We start from the raw sequence: 23,787 nt of genomic DNA, 5'->3' as shown, positions 1-23,787 counted from the left end.
TACACTAGATTTTGAGCATCTCGAAGTAATGTCCAAGTCTAATTTGTTTGTGTCTCCAGTACCTTGAAGAATGTCCAATATATAGTAAACACTGCACAAATGTTTGACAACTTGAGGTGAACTGGAAAATTAAGGAAAAGGAACATGAAATGCTCCTTAGATTCTCCTTGTCCCCTGCCCTTGCTCCACACCCCTTCCTCCACCCATGCTTTACTAAGTGGAGTCCAAGTTTGCTAGGGGTATGGATAGAATTGGAGTTAAGAATTGCCTGGAAGGGACGGGCATGGTGGCTTATGCCTGTAATCCCAACAATTTGGGAGGCCAAGGCAGGCAGAACACTTGAGGTCAAGAGTTTGAGACCAGCCTGGCCAACATGGTGAAACCCTGTCTCTACTAAAAATACAAAAATTAGCCAGGCATGGTGGTGGGCACCTGTAATCCCAGCTACTCTGGAGAAGGCTGAGGCAGGAGAATCGCTTGAACCCTGGAGGCAGAGGTTGCAGTGAACTGAGATCACACCACTGCACTTCAGCCTGAGCGACAGAGCGAGACTCCGTCTCAAAAAAAAAAAAAAAAAAAAGACTCTTTTTGTTGTCTTCCACCTGTTCTTGTCATTGTTTAGGAGTACTTGGTATTTCCCAACTGAGACAGAAACCATTTTTTATGAGCATTCATTACACCTCAGAGTTGTGTAACTTCTAAACTTGGCCAACTCTGTGGAAGACCATTTAACTCTGTGGAAGGCCTAATAATGTAGGCAGACATGGCTAGATGTCAGGTTTCTATAAGGATCTACAATTATATTTAGATTGTTTTGTTTTATAACTGCTATGGTGACCTCACAAAGACTCTAACTGCAAATATTTACCAACCCACATCATTTTTAAAACTAGTCTATCTTTCCCATGGAGAGAGACCAGAAGTAAAATAATTGAAATACGTGGTCTTTCTACCCAGGTGAATCATTATCCTAGGTAAATCGGCAGGCTGCATATGGTAGTTATGGGAAATAATTCCAAGAAAGGATGGATAATTTCATTGTTCCTTTTAGCTCTGCACAGCATTGTGCTGGGTACCTAGTTAGCCTTTAATCAATGTTTGCCAGAGGGTTAATGTAATCATCATCCAAGAACTTTAAGCACTATCTTCAAATATATGATGGATACTTGGACTGATGCACTTTAGAGACCCTTAAAGCTCTGAGAGTCTCTAATTATGGGCTAATTGTCTACCTTGCTCGTTTTATATCATTCATCACTTATTATTTTAGTTATACTTTCTTGTTAAAAATTTTAGAATCTGTGGTAATGTAAAATGGTGCAGCTGATATGGGAAATAGGATAGCAATTGCTTAAAAAATTAAACATAGAATTACCATATAATCTCGCAATTCCACTTTTGGGTATATATCTAAAAGAATTAAATGCAGCAATTCAAACAGATATTCGTACACTCCTGTTTGCAGCAGTATTACTCATAATAGCCAAAAGGTGAAAGCAACCCAAGTGTCCATTGGCAGATGCTATGGTCTGAAAGTTTCTGTCCCCCCCAAATTCATATGTTGAAATTTAATCACCAATGTGATGGTTTTAAGAGGTGGGGTGTTTGAGATGTAATTAGGTCATAAATGAGATGATTACCTTTATAAAAGAGGCTGGAGAGAGAGCCCTCTTACCCCTTCCACCACGTGAGGACACGGCAAGAAGTGAACATCTATGAACCAGAAAGTGGGACCTCACCAGACATAAACCTGCTGCTGATGGCTTGATGATGGACTTTCCAGCCTCTAAAACAGTGATAAATATATTTCTGTTGTTTATAAGGTACCAAGTTTATGATAGTTTGTTATAGAAGCCTGAACCAACTAAGACAATAAATGAACACATAAAGAGAATGTAATATATGCATATGGTGGAATATTATTCTTCCCTAAAGAGGAGGGATATTCTTACATGGATGAACTTTGAAGACATTATGCTAAGTGAAATAAACCAGGCATAAAAGGACAAATACCGTATGATTCCACTTATATGAGGTACATAGTGTAGTCAAATTGATACAGACAGAAAATAGAATGGTGGTTGCCAGGGGCAAGGGGAAGTGGGGAATGGAGAGTTATTGTGTGACAGGCATGGAGTTTCAGTTTAGGAAGATGAAGTTCTGGAAATAGATGACAGTGATTGTATAACAATGTGCATATACTCAACATCACTGAAATGTCTGCTTAAAAATGGTTAAAATGGTAAATTGTATGGTATGTATATTTTGCTACAATAAAATTAGAATCTTAACTAGAGTGTTGGTTTAGGACATACATTTACTGCACTTCTATGTGGAAGGAGAGAAAAAAAATATAAGAGCAATTGGTATAATCTGATCATAGTAGAAAATGCATTTAGTCTTTTCGTCTTTTTCTGGAAAGACAGCAATTAAGAGCATGGTGTTTAGAGTCAGAAACCTGGGATTGAAACCAGGCCTTATGCTTTTTAGCTTGTGTGGTGGAAAGTGTGTGACATCTATTTATCTACTTTCAGCTCTTGGGTAGGATTAATATTTTAGATGATGCTGCACATGTACTGACAGCTCCTTGATTCCCCACATGGCTGGATAGACAGGTGCCTCTTCTGCAGGCTCAACTCAACAAAACAACATGAGGTGTGATACATTGGCTGTTTCAAATCCATATGCTGATAACATCTCCCTCAAAAGGTTGTTGTGAGGATTAAATGGGGCAGGTATCATGTGTAACTGTAAGCCCTCAATTGGCAGGGGCTATCATTTTAGTTGTGTGCATTCTAACTTGGCTCAAGTATTAAAATTACTTCTTCATGGCAGAAAATTAAACCCTCTAGTTCCCATTTCACTCTTTTTCTTTCTTTCTTTCTTTCTTTTTTTTTTGTTTTTTTTAGATGGAGTCTCACTCTGTCACCCAGGCTGGAGTGCAGTGGCATGATCTTAGCTCACTGCAACCTCCACCTCCCAGGTTCAAGCAATTCTCCTGCCTCAGCCTCCTACGTAGCCTCCTACGTAGCTGAGATCACAGGCATATGCCACCATGCCCAGCTAATTTTTGTATTTTTAGTAGAGACGGAGTTTCACCATGTTGGCCAGGCTGGCCTCAAACTCCTGACCTCAAATGATCTGCCTGCCTTCATCTCCCGAAGTGCTGGGATTACAGATGTGAGCCACTGTGCCTGGCCCCATTTCACTCTTGATTCTCTCTCTTAACCTCTTTTGCTATCACCAAGAAGTAAGGATTTCTCAATGCTGTTAGTACTTTGCTAATTTTTTGGCTCATATACTTTATAATCATGATGAAGCACATCTACGTTTTAAGTTGCCCTCTAAAATGTTTTCTCGTAACTTTAAATAGCTGCAAATGACATAATTTCAAGTTTATTGAAAATTAATGTCACTTTAAAAGTAAAAATATTTGATCAACCTTAAATGTATCATATGGATTCTAAAAACAATAGGCTTTTGGTACTTATCATTATTATATTAGTTATCTATTACTGTGTAACAAATTGTCCTTAAGCTTCACAGCTGAAAACAACCATTTATTATCTCACAGTTTCTCTGGGGCAGATAAAAGTCTCTCACAAGACTGCAATCAGGGGGTCAGCCAGGGCTGCTGGGTGATCTGAAGACTTGACTCGGGGAGGATCTACTCCCAAGCTTCCTCAAGTAACTGTTGGCAGGATTCAGTTTCTTATGGACCATAGGGCAGAGGGCCTAAGTTTATGGCTGGCTAATGGCTAGTGACCTCCCTCAGTTCTGTGTCACATGAAGCTCTCCATACGGTAGTTCATAATATGGCAACTGGCTTTCCTCAGAGCACACAGAAGAGAGAGAGAGAGCAAAAGAGGAGAGCAGCATAGAAATCATAGTGCTTTGATAGCCTTATCTCAGAAGCCTCATCCCATCGCATTTGCTGTATTCTCTTTGTTATAAGCAAGTCTTTAGGTCAAGCCCACTCTCATGGGGATGAGATTACACAAGGGCATAAATATTATACCTGGGGGCAAGGATCATTGGGGGCCATCTTATAAAGCCTGCTATCCACTACTATCAATTTTTTAAAAAACATTCGAACAAGGTCATTTTTAACTGTTAGAAAAATTTGTCTAAATGACGAGTTAATGGGTGCAGCACACCAGCATGGCACATGTATACATATGTAACTAACCTGCACATTGTGCACATGTACCCTAAAACTTCAAGTATAATAATAATTTTAAAAAAAGAAAAAAAAAGAAAGCTGAAACTGGATCCCTTCCTTACACATTATACAAAAATTAATTCAAGTTGGATTAAAGACTTAAATGTTAGACCTAAAACCATAAAAACCCTAGAAGAAAACCTAGGCAATACCATTCAGGACATAGGCATGGGCAAGGACTTCATGTCTAAAACACCAAAAGCAATGGCAACAAAAGCCAAAATTGACAAATGGGATCTAATTAAACTAAAGAGCTTCTGCACAGCAAAAGAAACTACCATCAGAGTGAACAGGCAACCTACAAAATGGGAGAAAATTTTTGCAACCTACTCATCTGACAAAGGGCTAATATCCAGAATCTACAATGAACTCCAACAAATTTACAAGAAAAAAACAAACAACCCCATCAAAAAGTGGGCAAAGGACATGAACAGACACTTCTCAAAAGAAGACATTTATGCAGCCAAAAATACACATGAAAAAATGCTCACCATCACTGGCTATCAGAGAAATGAAAATCAAAACCACAAAACCACAATGAGATACCACCTCACACCAGTTAGAATGGCAATCATTAAAAAGTCAGGAAACAACAGGTGCTGGAGAGGATGTGGAGAGATAGGAACACTTTTACACTGTTGGTGGGACTGTAAACTAGTTCAACCATTGTGAAAGTCAGTGTGGCGATTCCTCAAGGATCTAGAACTAGAAATACCATTTGATCCAGCCATCCCATTACTGGGTATATACCCAAAGGACTATAAATCATGCTGCTATAAAGACACATGCACACGTATGTTTATTGTGGCACTATTCACAATGGCAAAGACTTGGAACCAACCCAAATGTCCAACAATGATAGACTGGATTAAGAAAATGTGGCACATATACACCATGGAATACTATGCAGCCATAAAAAATGATGAGTTCATGTCCTTTGTAGGGACATGGATGAAATTGGAAATCATCATTCTCAGCAAACTATCGCAAGAACAAAAAACCAAACACCGCATATTCTCACTCATAGGTGGGAATTGAACAATGAGAACAGATGGACACAGGAAGGGGAACATCACACTCTGGGGACTGTTGTGGGGTTGGGGGAGTGGGGAGGGATAGCTTTAGGAGATATACCTAATGCTAAATGACGAGTTAATGGGTGCAGCACACCAGCATGGCACATGTATACATATGTAACTAACCTGCACATTGTGCACATGTACCCTAAAACTTAAAATATAATAATAATAAGATAAAATCAAAAAAAGAAAAATTTGTCATTTCTTTTTCTTCTTGAACTTGTAATTCCATTCTACTATTCTGTTGTAGAATTTTCTCTAATGTAATGTTCATTTATGCTTGAAATCATTTTATTGATCTCTTTATCATATTTATCACATTAGAAAATTACATACATAAACTGATGTTTTAATTTAATTTAATTAATTTTGAAATAGGGTCTTACTTTGTAACCCAGGCTGGAGTGCAGTGGTGCAATCATAGCTCACTGCAGCCTCAACCTCCCAGGCTCAAGTGATCCTCCCACCTCAGCCTCCTGAGTAGCTGGAACTACAGGCACCAGCCATCATGTCTGGCAAATTTTTTTATTTTTCATACAGAGGAGGGGTCTCACTATGTTCCCCAGGCTGGTCTTTAATTCCTGGGCTCAGATGATCCTCCTGCCTTGGCCTCCCAAAGTGTTAGGATTACAGGCATGAGCCACTGTGCCTAGCCTGAAATTTTAATTTTTAAAAAATTTCCTGGGGCCGGGTGTGGTGGCTCACACCTGTAATCCCAGCACTTTGGGAGGCTGAGGTGGGCAGATCACCTCTGGGCAGGAATTTGAGATCAGCCTGGCCAATATGGTGAAACCCCACCTCTACTAAAAATATAAAAATTAGCTGGGCGTGGTGGCGGGCGCCTGTAGTCCAGCTACTGAGGAGGCTGAGGCAGGAGAATCGCCTGAACCCAGGAGGCAGAGGTTGCAGTGAGCCAAGATTGCACCACTGCACTCCAGCCTGGGCGACAGAGCGAGACTCTGTCTCAAAAATAATAATAATAATAATAAATAAATTTCCTATAACCATATGGCTTTAAGGATTATATTTTTTTAGACTGAGTTATCATTAATGTATTGTTATTAGTAGTAGTATGAATAGCATTATTGATTAAAACTACATAAACATTTAATAAAATTTGATAAATATTATTATTAAATACAAAAAGTAAAGTGCCATTGGAAATATGTTGCTTAATGCAATAGGTTTCTTTTCAGTTAGTTCATTCATGCTCTCTTCTGTATAACTTAGAATGAGTGACGGCCACTAATAAATGAGGATCTAATGTTCATTAATGATGGTTGTTAAGTGCCTTATTTTCAGGACAATTCACATTATATTCCCATTAAACTAATCCAAAGTTAACAGATACATGGGAGGAATAATAAATGAGCAGAGAAATGGTTGCCACATGAGAGAGCACCAAAGTAAAAACTAATATGGATTTAGGGTATCCAATAAGCTTTTGGAAAAAAAAATAATGAAAATGTTTCCTTTGCAAACCTTTATAAATGTTTATGTAAATACAAAACACTGGCCAAGCATGGTGGCTCAGGCATGTAATACCAGCACTTCAGGAGGCCAAGGCGGGAGGCTCACTCGAGCCCAGGACTTCAAGAAAACACCAACTTACTTCCTAAAAAGGAAAAAGAATTCTGAAAACCTTTTCTCTACTCTAGCTGTACAGCAAAGATGTATTTTTAAAGGGCACAAAAGAGAAAATGTGTAATGGGGGAAAACATATTCCAGAGTTTCTTTTTTTTCACAAATTCGTAGTCACCAGGAAGAATGGAAATCATCACAACATGAAGTGCATTATTTTCAGGGTTCTTCTTTATTGAAATCACATGCTTTGGTTCAAAGTATGAGAGACTCTATTCAGCAGAGATACACATACATGCGGAAGTGATGCAGTCAGTAAGATCATAGCAAACTATAATTTCTGCATTTGGTGATAAATGGCCATAAATATTGTGATAAAGATGCCTCAACTTACTGGGGGAATAAACACAAAATGCTTTTATTTTCCAGTTATTACCACCAACTATTCCTTATCTAATCTTCTTCATGCTGGGTAACAGGACTACTGGCAAAAACACAATCTCTCATATGTGATTACGACCCTGAGTAACCTTGAGTACTGTATCTCAGACAGGTCTCAATCAATTTAGAAAGTTTATTTTGCCAAGGTTAAGAATGTGCCTCTGACACAGCCTCAGAAGGTCCTGTTGACATGTCCACAAGGTGGTTGGGGTACAGCTTGGTTTTATACATTTGAGGGAGACATGAGACATCAATTAATACATGTAAGATTTACACTGGTTTGGTCCAGAAAGGTGGGACACTCAGAGAGGGGGTGGCTTCCAGGTCATAGGTAGATTTAAAGATTTTCTGATTAGTGATTGGTTGAAAGAGTCATTATCAATAGAAAGGAACAACTGGGTTACTAATAAGGGGTTGTGGAGACCAACGCTTTATCATGCAGATGAAGCCTGGAAATGTTTCCTTTTTTTAAAATTTTATAAAAATTTTATTCAGGATCCAAAGCAGTATGTAAATGTTTCTCATCAGATTTAAAGAGTCTGTTCTATCAGTAATTCCAAAGGAGAGGAGGGTATAATGAGGCATGTCCAGCTCCCCATTCCCATCATGGCCTGAGCTTATTTTCCAGGCTAACTTTGGAATGCCCTTGCCTAGAGGAGGCGTCCATTAGGATGATTGCTGGGGGTGCTTAGAATTTTATTTTTGGCTTACAGTATTTACAAAGGATTACTAGTGTCACAAAGGCTGAGAGGATTCAGGAAAAGTTGATGGGAATAATGCTATGGAATTCATGCAAAAGCAGGTTATAGTAGGTCATTCCTTTCAGACCACAAGGAGTGATTATAAATCTTGGCAGAGGCTATTGAGTCAGTCTGCCCAGCACCCCTGACTTCTCTGGAAGCTAACATCTGCTCCACCTAACCTTCACTACACAGGCCTGTGCTTAGGACTGAGCCTCTCCTAACACCCCTACCTAGATACCATGTTGTCCCAGGACTACACGTGACCCAAGCCACATCAGTCAGAGTTAGTCCCTGGGACTTTTCTAATTATCTTCTACTTTGTTGTCGTTGCTGTTGTTTGAGACATGGTCTTTCTCTGTCACCCAGGCTGGGATGCAGTGGCACAATCGCAGCTCTCTGCAACCTCTGCCTCCCGGGTTCAAGCGATTCTCCTGACTCAGCCTCCTGAGTAACTGGGATTACAGGCACACACCACCACAGCCGGCTAATTTTTATATTTTTAATAGAGATGAGTTTTTGCCTTGTTGGCGAGGCTGGTCTTGAACTCATGGCCTCATGTGATCTACCTGCCTTGGCCTCCCAAAGTGCTAGGATTACATGTGTGAGCCACCATGCCCGGCCCTAATTATCTTGTACTTTGATGAGAAGCTAGCCTGAGAGAATACTCCAAAAATGATAGTTTTAGGATCACCAGAGTATGTACCTTATAAAAGTGCTGTACTACAGTGAAGGTTGTCCCATCTCTCTTAAATGGACTAAAGGCACCTCTCCAGGAGAGTTGAGATGTATTAAAATCCACCTCCTCATAGTCTAAACCATAGAATTTCAGAAATTGCAAATCAAAATAAGCCTAGACTACAAGGGTAAAGGAATTGGCTACATTTGAAAGAAAGAATCCCAGTGAATCAGAAGGCAGGAAGTAGATGCTAGATTTTAAATATTCATAAATGTTAAGACTTTGGTTTAGAGTATAAGGTAATCTGTTTTGCAGATAAAAGTTTCTGTTTTTTCCAAAAGGAGCTGGGAGCACTGTGAATCACACAAATGTATTAGAAGCCTCTTGAATTGGAAATGGCATTCAGAGAATTCAGGGCACAAGAATGAGATTTGTATATTCCAAAGATGATGAAACTGAAATTAGATTGGTAAAATGCATGATACACAAGGAACTGGAAGTTAAATAGTTCACCTGAAATTATTTTTAATCCAAAAAGGGTAACTATAAATGCATTCATATAAAGCTAAAAGTGGTATAAATTAAACTTTTAAAAACAATGTATTTTTTTCTGAAATTAGTTGTAAGCTCAGAAAAAATGAAATATAACAGGCTACAAGAGAAGAATAAAAACTTCAAAAGGACTTCAAAGATAGAAAATAGGCAAGAAACTTCAAAGAAAGAAAGGGGGAAAAATGGCAGTTTTAAATCATGTCTAACAGCAAAGTCTCTGGTTTTACCAAGATGGGGATTGAACCAACTACTCCTCACCCTTTTCTAAGTAAAATAATGATTTATGAATATTAGTTTCTTTAAAAAAATTCTAAATTTGGGTATTTTTATATTAAACATTTTAAATATCTAAAAGGAAAACATTCTACAATGAATCAGGGAGATTTAATTTTACCTTAATTTTAAAGGAATATAGTTTTATTATAGATTTTCTCAATAATGGTAAGTACAGTTACTAAAGAATATAAAATTGGTAATTGAGGCATAGAATGGCTTGTTTTTTCATTTTGATTTGTTTTAAGACAGAATCTCAGGGCTGGGCGCGGTGGCTCACGCCTGTAATCCCAGCACTTTGGGAGGCCGAGGTGGGTCGATCATGAGGTCAGGAGATAGAGACCATCCAGGCTAACACGGTGAAACCCCGTCTCTACAAAAAATATTTTAAAAAATTAGCTGGGCGTGGTGGCGGGCGCCTGTAGTCCCAGCTACTCAGGAGGCTGAGGCAGGAGAATGGCGTGAATCCAGGAGGCGGAGCTTGCAGTGAGCCGAGATGGCGTCACTGCACTCTAGCCTGGGCTATAAAACGAGACTCCTTCTCAGAAAAAAAATAAAAAAGACAGAGTCTCGCTCTGTTGCCCAGACTGGAGTGCAGTGGTGCCATCTCAGCTCACTGCAAACTCCATCTCTTGGTCTCAAGCGATCCTCCCACCTCAACCTCCTGAGTCGCTGAGTCGCTGGGACTACAAGCGTGTGCCACCACACCTGGCTAGCATTATGTATTATTATTATTATTATTATTGGTAGAGACAGGGTTTTGCCATGTTGCGCAGGCTGGTCTCGAACTCCTGGGCTGAAGTAATCCTCCCACCTCGGCCTCCGAAAGTGTTGAGATTACAAGCATGAGCCACTGCACCTGGCCAAGTATGTTTGACTGCATAAATAAATTTGGAATTGTGCACTAAAATTAAATAGTCACATTTATGTAAATATGATTTTTTAAAGAAATGTATGTGATTTCAAATGGAATTTATTGTGCTGAAAGTGTATAGGCACATGTATATTTTGTGAGTTGGTTTTAGCAAGAGTTAGGAAAGTAGAAAATTTTCTGAATCTATAGACCACTTTGATACTGGGCAAAATTGCAATGTTTAGCATTTGACACTTTTTTTTTTTTATGTGAGTGATTATATCAGTCAGGGATACAGAGAGAAAGAGATTTATATTAAGGTTGGCTCATGGGATTGTGGAGGCTGGCAAGTCTAAAATGTGTAGGGTAGGCAAGAAACTCAGTCAGGATTTCTGTGTTACAGTCTTGAGTCTTATTTGGGAAACCTCAATCTTTGCTTTAAGGCCTTCAACTGATCAGATGAGGCCCATCTACATTATGGAGGGTAATCCTCCTTATTTAAAGTCAACTGGGCCGGGTGCAGTGGCTCATGCCTGTAATCCCAGACTTTGAGAGGTCGAGGTGGGAGGATCACTTAAGGCCAGGAGTTTGAGACCAGCCTGGGCAACATAGTGAAACCCTTTCTTGATACAGGTTTGGCTCTGTGTCCGCACCCAAGTCTCATCTTGAATTGTAATCCAAATTGTAATCCCCATGTGTTGAGGGAGGGACCTGGTGGGAGTTGAATAGATCATGGGGGCAGCTTCCCATGCTTTTCTCATGAGACTGAGTAAATTCTCAGGAGATCAGATGGTCTTATAAGTGCCAGTTTCCCCTGTGCTCTCTCTCTCTCCTGCTACCGTGGGAAGACATGCCTTGCTTCCCCTTTGCCTTCCATCATGATTGTAAGTTTAATGAGGCCTCCCCAGCCATGTGGAACTGTGAGTCAATTAAACCTCTTTCCTTAATCTTTACTCAGACTCAGCTGGGCGCGGTGGCTCATGCCTGTAATCCCAGTACTTTGGGAGGTTGAGGTGGACGGATCACCTGAGGTCAGGAGTTTGTAGACCAGCCTGACCAACATGGAGAAACCCCATCTCTACTAAAAATACAAAATTAGTTGAGCATGGTAGCACACGCCTGTAATCCCAGCTAACTCAGGAGGCTGAGGCAGGAGAATCACTTGAATCTGGGAGGCAGAGATTGCAGTGAGCCGAGATCGTGCCATCGCACTCTAGCCTGGGCAACAAAAGCAAAACTCTGTCTCAAAGAAAAAATAAAAAATAAATTACTCGGACTCTGGTAGTATCTTTTTTTTTTTTTTTTTGAGATGGAGTCTTGCTCTGTTGCCCAGGCTAGAGTGCAGTGGCTCAACCTCAGCTCACTGCAAACTCTGCCTCCTAGGTTCAAGCAATTCTCCTGTCTCAGCCTCCCAAGTAGCTGGGATTACAGGCGCCCGCCAGCACGCCTAGCTAATTTTTGTATTTTTAGTAGAGACGGGGTTTTGCCATGTTGGCCAGGCTGGTCTTGAACTCCTGACCTCAGCCTTCCAAAGTGTTAGGATTACAGGCATGAGCCACTGTGCCCGGCCAACTCTGGTCATATCTTTATAGCAGAGTGAAAATGGACTAATACATGTCTCTACAAAAAATTTAAAAATTAGCTGGGTGTGATGACACATGCCTATAGTCCTAGCTACTCAGGAGGCTGAGGAGAGAGGATTACCTGATCCCAGGAGTTTAAGGCTGCCATGAGCTATGATCATGCCATTGCACTCCAGACTGGGTAGCAGAGCAACACCCTGTCTCTAAAAAAATAATAATAATAAAATAATAAAGTCAACTGGTTATAAATATTAATCACTCTACAAAATACCTTCACAGCAACATCTAGACTAGTGTTTGCCCAAACAACTGGGCATCGTAGTCTAGCCATATTGACACGTTAACTATCACAGTTATCAATTTAATTAATTAATTTAATTAATTAGTCTAGATAAAATCTGATTTTAAATAGTTTGTTGGCTTTTGGAGGTTTTAGTTCACAAACCACGAAAAACATAAATGTTTATATTTATTCAAAGGCCTCTTCTTAATTGGATTTCTATACTAGAGATTAAAGTTACCTGTAATTAAAATAAAGGTAGTAGAAATATATATGATATTTTGGCCCATACCTCAAAAGAGGAATTTAAATAATCTCAAGGGTAGCTGATATTTACATGCATCAATATTTCCTATTTACATGGAGTTCCAAATACCAAGATCATCTTTGATTTCCTACTGGAAAATGAAAGACTATAAGAGATATTGGGTCAAGATATTACTAATTGGGAGAGTTGTTTGGATTTATACAAAGCAAACTTCAAAAAATAATAATACATAGCATAATATTATGTAAAGTTGATAGGGGGATGTTTTGTCTTTTAAAAGAAGAAAAACTAGTAACTCAGAAAAAAGAGCAAAGTAAATGTAAAGGCTTTGATAACTGGCCAGGATTTTGTAAAATTAAAATATTATTAAATATATAAATATAGTTTTATATATTTATAAACACGTGGGAATTATAGGAGCTACAATTCAAGATGAGATTTGGGTGGGGACACAGCCAAACCATATCCCCTTACATCTGTCTTCTTTCGCTTTTGTCCTAATATTGCTAGAATTTAGATAATAGGAGAAATGATCAAATTGTTTAGCCAGAACTTTATATATATATAAAAGTTTATATACATGAGTCTTGCTCTTATAATTATACAGTAAGGTATTGAAAATGGACTAGATGATAGTAAGATGACATCCATCAAATCATAGAGTGACAAGTTAAGGCTATACAGAACCTTAAATTGCATGAGTTTCCCTATCAACTCAAAATGGAATATGTAGATGTTCCTTTCATTGTATGTGCAGATGTAAAAATATATCCACATCCTTTCTTCCTTTCTAACTCTATCCACTTGAGTGAACCCCAGAGTTTCTGGCTCCCCTGATGGGATGAACCCAACAGGCAACCCTAGTACTTGAAATGTGGCTTCTTATACCAGTCAGTCACTAAAAGGCATGAGTCTCTCTAGAAGGCTAGCTGATTTCGTGTTTGTGGCAGGGCTAGACTGAGCCTGGAATATCTTCTTTTACCACAAAGCAAGGAAACTTTCAAAGATTAATGCAGTGGTATCAAAAGGAAAAGGGTGCTACTTAAAAAAGGGCTTCATTGACCAAAGTTGTGACTTTGAGCATCAAAAAGAGAACCAAGGCTGTAGTTGATTAAAATATATGAAATCTGTGAAAGGCCCTAAGTTCATAATGACATGCCAAAAGAGAAAAGCATTCTCAAGGAAAGTGAATGGAGGAGAATATGGCATTGTTAATGGTCATACTGGTCTTATCCACATAGTTTAGAAAATAGATATAGAATTTAGTAAATATTCAATTACATCAGTTAAAAGATATTTTTGGCCCAGTGTGGTGGCTCACACCTATAATCCCAGCGCTTTGAAAGGTGGAGGCAGGCAGATCACTAGAGGTCAGGAGTTTGAGACCAGCCTGGCATGGTGAAACCCCGTCTCCACTAAAAATATTAAAATTAGCCGGGCATGGTGACACTGGCCTGTAATCCCAGCTACTCAGGAGGCTGAGGCATCAGCATCGCTTGAACCAGGGAGGTGGAGGCTGCTGTGAGACAAGATTGTGCCATCGCACTCCAGCCTGGGTGACAGAGAGAGACTGTGTCTCAAAAAAAAAAGAGATCTTCTGACACAAGAGCATTTCAGAAGAAAGAACATACTAGATCCTCCTTCCCTATATTTTACTCTTTTCATTTCTAGGAGTAAATACATTTCCTAGAATAATTATGAATCCTTTTTGTCCATGTTTGTCTGCCTTTTACCGCACATACATCTATCCATAAATAATACACAGTATTATTGGTTTGTTTTTAAAATGGATGTCCTTTTGCAACGTACTATTTTTCTCTCTCAGAGTTTTATTTTTTTGATATTTATTCATGTCGATGCACATACTTGCTCCCTTATGTGCACGGGGTCATTTCTGGGTCTGTTCCATTGGGCCATATCTCTATCTCTGCATTAGTATCATTCCGATGTTATAAAACCATACTTACCTTTGTAAAATGTCTTGATTGATGTCTACATTGAATCTGTCCTTCTTTACTCTTCAAATATTATCCTGGCTAGTCTCAATCATTTAGTTTCATATAACATTTTGGATCTACTCATCAGAAGTTTTGAGTTTTAAGTTGCTTGGGTTTGAAATGGATTGAATTTATAAATTAAGATTGCTATGAATTAATATATTTTAGGAGCCGGGTGTGGTGGCTCATACCTGTAATCCCAGCACTTTGGGAGGCCAAGGCAGGCAGATCACTTGAGGCCAGGAATTCGAGACCAGCCTGGCCAACATGGTGAAACCCCATCTCTACCGAAAATACAAGAATTAGCCGGCTGTGATGACCCATGCCTGTAATCCCAGTTACTAGGGAGGCTGAGGCACAAGAATCACGAACTCAGTTGGCAGAGGTTGCAATGAGCCGAGATTGCACCACTGCCCTTTAGCCTAGGCAACAGAGCGAGACTCTGTCTCAAAATAATAATAATATACTGTGGCATTCATTTTTCTCATAGATGTTTATAGCAAAACTCTCTATCATTTAAATATTGTTTGAAATCTTTGCAGATAATTTTTGTTTGTTTTTATAGTGGAAAAATTTAATATATGCAAAAGTAGAGAGATTACTATGATAAACCCTCATAAACTCATAATCCAGTAAAACAATTATCAATTTGTGGCCAATCCTACTTCATCTGTATTTCCATATATTCTACTACCCTCCTGTTTTATTTTGAAGCATATCCCAGACATCATATCATTTCATCTATAAAAATTTCATCAAATATCTCTAAAAGATAAGGACTCCTTAAAAATATATCCACAATACAATTATTACCACTAAAAAACCCAATAGGCCAGGCTTGGTGGCTGAGGCCTGTAATCCCAGCATTTATGAGACCCAGGCAGGAGGACCATTTGAGCCCAGGAGTTGGAGACCAGCCGGGGCAACATAGCAAGAGCTTGTCTCTATTAACTGGGTGTAGTGGCACATGCCTGTGGTCTCAGCTACTCCAGAGGCTGAGGTGGAAGAATCCCTTGAGCCCTGGGGGCCGAGGCTGCAGTGAGCCGTGATCATGCCATTGCACATCAGCCTGGGCAACAGGGCAAGACTTCACCTCAATTTTTCTATTTTTTTTGAGATGGAGCCTCACTCTGTCAACTGCAGTGGTGCCGTCTGGGCTCACTGCAACCTCTGCCTCCCAGGCTTCAGTGATCCTCTCACCTCAGCCTCCCCAGTAGCTGGGACTACAGGCAGGCCTGATCATGCCCAGCTAATGTTTGTATTTTTTGTAGAGACAGAGTTTCACCATGTTGCCCAGGCTGTTCTCGAACTTCTGGTCTCCAGCCATCTGCCTGCCTTGGCCTCCCAAAGTGCCAGGATTACAGGCCTGAGCCACTGTCCCCAGCCTATTATTATTTTTAATTGACACATAATAATTGTATATATTTATGGGGCACCAACCAAGATAATGAACAAATCTATTATCCTCAAAAGTTTCTTCATGCCCCTTTGTCATCTCTCCTTCCTGTGCTCCCCTCCTCCTTCCCCAGGTAATCACTAATCTGCTTCATTATAAATTAATTTGCATTTTTAAAGAATTTTACAGGTCCATCACCGTGGTTCACACCTGTAATCCTACGGCTTTGGGAGGCCCAGGTGAGAGAATGCTTGACTGGAGGAACTCAGGACCAACCTGGGCAAAAAAGTGAGACCCTGTCTCTACAAAAAATCAAAAGGTTAGTTAGCCAGGCATGGTGGCCCATGACTATGGTCCCAGCTACAATGAAAGGCTGAGGCAGGAGGATTCCTTGAGCCCAGGAGGTCCAGGCTACTGGAGCTTTGATGGGGCCACTGTACTCCAGCCTGGTCAACAGACTGAGACCCTGTCTCAAAAAAAAAAAACAAAAACCCAAAAAAATTTCTTTCACCTTGTTTTCAGCTTGTTTTTATGTGTATCTGCAGTCCATTATTTTTATTGTGTACTCCTTTTTGTTGTATGCATATACCACAATTTGTGCATTCAGTCACCCAATGGTGGACATTTGGGTTGTTTACAGGTTTTGCCTATGACAAAGCTTTGATAAACATTAATATGCAAATCTTTTTATGAATATATTCTTTCATTTATCTTGGCTAAATACACCAAAGTGATATGGTGAGTCACAATGAAGATGTGTGTTCAAGTTTTAAAGGAACTGTCAAACTATTTCCAAAGAGTTCTACCATTTTACATTCCCACCAGCAGTGTAAGAGTTTCAGTTCCTCCATATTCTCACTAACACCTGATGTAGTCAGTTGTCGTATTTCATTGTGATTTTTAGTATGTGTTTCCTTAATGACTATTGATATTGAGCATGTTTTCCTGTGCTTATTTGTCACTGGAGAAATATCTGTTAAAACCTTTTGCTTATTATTTACTGGATTTTTTGTTTTCTTATTGTTGAGCTTTGCGAATCATGTATTCTTAAAAGCCTTTTGTCAGATAGGTGATTTGCAAATATTTTCTTCCAGTTTGTGGTTTGTTTTTTCATTCTCTTAATACGGTTTTCCAAAGAGCAGAAGTTTTTAATTATAATGACATCCAGTTTATTGATTCGTTCAGTTATGGATCATGCTTTTGGTGTCTTATCTAAGAAATCTTTGCCTAATTCAAAGTTGCAAAGGTTTTCTGCTTTTTTTTTTTTAGACGGAGTCTCATTCTGCCTGTCACCCAGGCTGAAGTGCAATGGCATAATCTTGGCTCACTACAACCTCCACCTCCAGGGTTCAAGTGATTCTCCTGTCTCAGCACGCCCAGTTAATTTTGTATTTGTAGTAGAGACAGGGTTTCACCTTGTTGACCAGACTGGTCTCGAACTCCTGACCTCAGGTGATCCACCCGCCTGGGTCTCCCAAAGTGCTGGGATTACAGGCGTGAGCTATGGCGCCCAGCCCTCTGCTATGTTTTCTTCTAGAACTTTTCTGATTTTAAGTTTTACATTTAGGACTATGACAATTTTGAATTAATTTTGTATAATGTGAGAGGTATGGATCAAAGTCCATATTTGTGCACATAAATAGATGATTGTTTTTGCATATGGATATCTATAGTACAGATATCCATATACAAACAGACTATCCTTTCGCTACTGAATTGCTTTTGAAACTTTCTTCAAAGTCAGCCATCCATATACATGTACTATATATCTATTTCTGGACTCCATTCTGTTTCATGTCTCTATTTATCTCCCAAGTAGCTGGGTATTGATGCCAATACCACACTGTGTTGATTACTACAGCTTTATAGTCTTAAAATAAGTAATGTTTGTCCTCCAACTTTATTTCTATTTTTCACAGTTGTTTCAACTATTCTACGTCCTTTCCATTTCAATATGAATTTTAGAATCAGATTTTTGATTGGAATTATGTCAAACATATAGTTCAAATTCAGAAGAACTGGCGTCTCAACAATATTGGATATTTCCATTTATTTAGCTTCCTTCCTCCCGCCCTCCGTCCCTCCCTCTCTCTTTCTCTCTTTCTTTCTTTCCTCCCCTCCCTTCCTTCCTTCTTTCCTTCCTTCCTTCCTTTTTTTTTTCTAAGTCTTGCCCTTGCAGTGGCACACTCTCAGCTCACTGAAACCTCTTCCTCCCAGGTTCAAGCAATTCTCATGTTTCAGCCTCCCAAGTAGCTGGGATTACAGGCACACGCCATCAAACCCAACCAAATTTTTGTATTTTTCGTAAAGACGGTGTTTCACCATGTTGACCAGGCTGGTCCTGAACTCCTGACCTCAAGTGATGTGCCTGCCTCGACCTCCCAAAGTGCTGGGATTACAGGTGCGAGCCACGGCACCTGGCCAACCAAGCCTTTTCATTTTTATACAATGTCTAGGAACTGCATATATTTTAATCTTAAGTCCAATATATAACATTTTTATATATTTATACATATTTATATAACATTTATATATAAATTATATATTTATAATTTATTTTATTTTAGGTCATATCCAAGACATCTTTGCCTAACCCAAGTTCATAAAAGTTTTCTCCATTATTTTGTTCTATTAGGTTTGCAGCTTTTGCTTTAAATTTAGGCCCATGATCAATTTTTAGTTATTTTTGTGACTAGCGTAAGTAAGGATTGAGGTTCATTCTTTTTCTTTGTGGGTATCTGGTTATTCAAACACTGGTTTTGAAAAGACTGCCCTATCCCCATTGAATTACCGAGACACCCTTATTGAAAACAAATTGAACATATCTATGTGCCTATTTATGGACTCTATTCATATTCAGTCTTTTCATATTGTCAGGTTACCAGAGCTTTATAACAAGCAGTATAAGACCTCCTTTGAAAATTGTTTAGCTACACAAGTCCCTTTGCTTTTCATATGTTTATATATGTATTCATATCCTTTAAAAGTATATTTTAGATGTAGCTTATCAATTTCTACAAAAATAAGCCTGCACAAATTTTGCTTGACATTGTGTTGAACTTTTAGATCACATTTGGGATATCTAAATTGGGACTTCTTATTAGTCCTAGCATTTTTTATTTTTGGTGATTTTTTAAGATGTTATACATACACAATCATGTCTACAAATAAAGGCAGTTTTACTTTTTTAGTTCCAATATTTATTCATTTTATTACTTTCTTGCCTTATTGCACTAGCTAGGACTTTGGTACAAAAAAAAAATTTTGTTTTCTTTGAAACTGGGTGTTGCCCTATCACCTGGTCTGGAATACAGAGACACCATCATAACTCACTGCAACCTTGAACTTCTGGGCTCAAATGATCCCCCCACCTCAGCCTCCTGAGTAGACTGGATTACAGGCACGTGCCACCATGCTGGTTTTTTGTTTTGTTTTGTTTTTTTAAGAGATGGGGTCTGGCTATGCTTTCCAGGCTGGTCTCGAATCTGGCTTCAAGTGATCCTCTTGCCTCAGGCTCCCAATGTGTGAGGACTATAGATGTGAGCCACCATGCCCTACCTAAAAGTTATTAATCAGGCTAATATACTATTAAATAAATATATTTGTCCTTGACAAATATACTTGCATAAAGGCTAGGAAGGTGGATTTTGAATTTACAATTGAACTTCTTGGAGTTCCACACCCAAGTGCGGTAGCATGGAGAGAGTGACCTTTCTTGCCATCTTTAGCTCTGCAAGATCTTATAGACATTTTTGGAGACATCCCAGCCTCAGCAGCCAAACTCCATCTATAGCCCTCACAAATAGGCTCTGAAAATGGGCTTGATGATGCTTGAGCAGATAATCCTGGGGTCTGGGGTCTCCAGAGGGCAAATTAGAAGAGGAGGATTTTTCTGTGGGTTCATACCTCTGATTCTCTGAGAAAGGGACATGGCTGGGCCCTCCAAAACATAGAGCCCAAGGGAGGGGCCTCTCTTGTGCAAGCAGTACTGCAGGGCAAACTGAGTCACTCTTGCCCTGTTGTACTTCCATCTGCAGGCGACTCTCATAATGATTTACCATTGCTGTTTCTTTCCTGGGGTTATTGACCTTCATAAGGCTTCTCTATTAGCCATGAGCTGATTCCCCTGGTGGACTCTTCTCTGAGTCCACATATGCCCAGGCATGGCTTAATTTTCAAAGTAAAAACTGTTTAGGCTCTCAATAGGAACACTCACCACATTAAAATAGGTATTAATTAGGCCAGGTGCAGTGGCTCACGCATGTAATCCCAACACTTTGGGAGACCGAGGCAGGTGGATCACCTGAGGTCAGGAGTTCGAGATCAGCCTGACCAACATGGTGAAACCCTGTCTCTACTAAAATACAAAAATTAGCCGGGTGTGGTGGCACACACCTGTAATCCCAGCTACTCGGGAGGCTGAGGCAGGAGAATTGCTTGAAGTGGGAGGTGGAGATTGCAGTGAGCTGAGGAGCTGAGGTCGTGCCACTGCACTCCAGCCTGGGCAAAAGAGTCAGACTCCGTCTCAAAAATAAAAAATGAAATAAAAAGATGATTTGCATGAGACTATACACATGTTCTTTTGTGGTCAGAATGTTAAAACATTTTTCATATGAAAATGTCTTACATTCTTTGTTTCCATGGTTTTATTTTATTTAAACTTTTTATTATGAAATATTTCAGGCATATACAAGAGTAGAAAGACTAGTATAATGAACCTCATCCATGTACCCATTATAAAAAATCATTAGTTCGGGGCCAATCTTCTTTCATCTGTATTCTCACGCATTCCTGTACCTCCTACCATATTATTTTTAAGCCAATCCCAGAAATCATTTTACCTCATTTATAAGTATTTCTGTATGGAGTCTCTGAAATATGAAGACTCCCTTTTTAACATAAGCACAATAGTATTATTATATCTTTACAAATTAACAATCTTTTAATCTCAATGTTGCCCTCTTCCACCACTGCAATTTATTCATGCAAGAAAGTGAGCCATTTGTCTTATAGAGTTTCCTACAGTCTAGATTTTACTCATTGCATCTCCAGAGTATTTGACCCTGTTTTTATGACTTTAATATGTCCTGAAATTAACTGTTGAACCCAGGCCTTGGGTTCTGGGGCTTTGATAGATTCATGTCCACTGTTTTTGGGATGACTACTTCATGGTTGATGGTGTGTTCTTTCATCAGGAGGCATGCAATAATCTGGTCATCTCTCTTTTAATGATATTAGTGACTATTAATGATTGATATGTAGGCTGGGTGCAGTGGCTTATGCCAGTAATCCCAGCACTTTGGGAGGCTGAGGCAGGAGGATTGCTTGAGCCCAGGAGTTCTAGACTAGCCTGGGCAACATTGTGAAACCCTGTCTCTACCAAAAATACAAAAATTAACTGGGTGTGGTAGCACGTGTCTGTGTCCCAGCTACTAGGCTGAGGTGGGATGATTGCTTGAGCCCAGGAGGCAGAGGCTGCAGTGAGCTGAGATGGAGCCACTGCACTCTAGCTTGGGCAATAGAGCCAGAACCTGTCTCAAAAAAAAAAAAAGATTGATATCTGAATCCAAATTCATTAAGAGTTACAAAATGGTGATATTATAATGACATCAGGCTTTTGTATGCATTAGCTGGAATATTTCTGTAAAGAAAAAGTTCCCTTATTACTACATGGTTGCCCAGTGGTATTTTCATTCTTTACACATTTCAATTCAGTATAAGAACTGGAATCTTAACTAAATACTTAAAATAGCACATTGGAGCTTCAAAGGATTTTCAGTGGAATCTAATTCAACACTGTGTTTTGTGGATGAAGAAACAGGTCCAGAAAGGTTAAATTAGTTTTCTAATTTCTAAACGCTCATTAGTAGTTATCAGAGTCCCAACAGGAAACAGGTAGGATAATTTGAAGTGGGTTTATTTACAAAAAGACTAATTACAAAGCTGTGGAAGGGTATAAGGAGGCTTCAAGGAATTCTTCATGAGCTTGGGGCCAGCAACTTTATCATTTCTAGGTGCCAATAAACAACAAAGCAAGGGACAGTTATGAGACCCTGTTAGAAAGTGAGTCCCATAGGAGCTGTCACCTTGGGAAGAGCAATAACCTTCTGTTGAAGAACACAGCCAGCCTGTAGTGACTCATACAGAGTGAGTCCAGGAGAGAAATACCCAGCTCCCAATGTCCTTCCTCCTGCAGATCCCTGCCTGGACTCCCCACTGACCAAATCCAACTGATAAACAGAAAGGAAGGGAGCCCATTGACTTAATTCATAGCCTCCCAAGACAGAGACTCTGGGGGATATAAATGGAGAGTGAATCTAGAGGGGAAAATCAGAAACAGATGGCAAAAATTTCAGTTCACATTCTTGCTCTGATTCCACCATGCTACCGTGCATTCAAATATTTGCTTACATTTACAGATCTTATATTTGTAGAAATAATTCATGGCCCAAGATGATGTCATCTTCCTCTGGAGTGAATTTTGTTTCTCAAATGCAGGGAACTACCTTAATACAATTTTAGGGTTTGAGACTTCTTTCTGGGTTACTCAGATGAATGGAAGCAGGATTGCTGTCCACGTACGGGCCATCTAACCTATAGTTCACTCTTACTTGTAGGGTATATCATCTTTAATTTTGTCCTCAAGATGTTATCAAGAATTCAGTTCAGATAAACACAGGCACAAAAATCCTCAACAAAATACCAGCAAACTGAATCTAGCCGCACATCAAAAAGTTAATTCACCCCGATCAAATAGGCTTAATTCCTAAGATCCAAGGTTGGTTCAACATATGCAAATCAATAAATGTGACTCACCACATAAACAGATTTAAAAACAAAAACTAGATGAATATCTCAATAGGTATGGGAAAAGCTTTTGATAAAATCCAACATCCCTTCATGATAAAAACCCTCAACAAACTAGGCATCAAAGGAACATACCTCAAAATAATAAGAGCCATTTATGACAAACCCAGAGCTAACAAATACTGAACAGGCAAAAGCTAAAGACATTGCCCTCAAGAACAGGAACAAGACAAGGATGCCCATTCTCAGTATTCCACATAGTACTGGAGGTCCTAGCCACAGCAATCAGGCAAGAGAAAGAAATAAAAAGCATCCAAATAAGAAAAGGAGTCAGATAATCTCTCTTCCCTGAAGATAAGAATCTTTTTTTTTTTTTTTTTTTTTTGAGACAGAATCTCACTCTGTTACCCAGGCTGGAGTGCAGTGGCACGATCTCGGCTCTCTGCAACCTCCATCTCAAGTAGCTGGGACTACAGACTACATGCTCAGCTAATTTGTTTTTCAGTATTTTTAGTAGAGATGGGGCTTCACTGTGTTGGCCAGGCTGGTCTCAAACTCCTGGCCTCAAGTGATATACCCGCCTTGGCCTTCCAAAGTCCTGGGATTACAGGCATGAGCCACTGCGCCTCATCCCCTGAAGACAAGATTCTATACCTAGACTCCACCAAATGGCTCCTAGAATTGATAAACAATGTCGGTATAGTTTCAGGATACAAAATCAATGTATAAAAATCAGTAGCATTTTCATATACCAATAACGTTCAAGCTGAGAGACAAGTCAAGAACACAGTTCCATTTATAATAGCCACACACACACACACACACACGCACACAATCTAGGAATACATCCAATCAAGGAAGTGAAAGATCCCTACAAGGAGAATTACAAAACACTGTTGAAGGAAATCATAGATGACACAAACAAACAGAAAAATATTCCACGCTGATGGATTGGAAGAATCAATCTTGTTTAAATGGCCACACTGTCCAAAGCAATCTACAGATTCAATGGTATTCCTAAGAAACTACCAACATC

Source organism: Homo sapiens, chromosome 6 (assembly GCF_000001405.40).
Source record: "Homo sapiens chromosome 6, GRCh38.p14 Primary Assembly".
NCBI classification, from domain to species: Eukaryota; Metazoa; Chordata; class Mammalia; order Primates; family Hominidae; genus Homo; species Homo sapiens.
Note: the sequence above shows the minus strand (reverse complement) of the source record.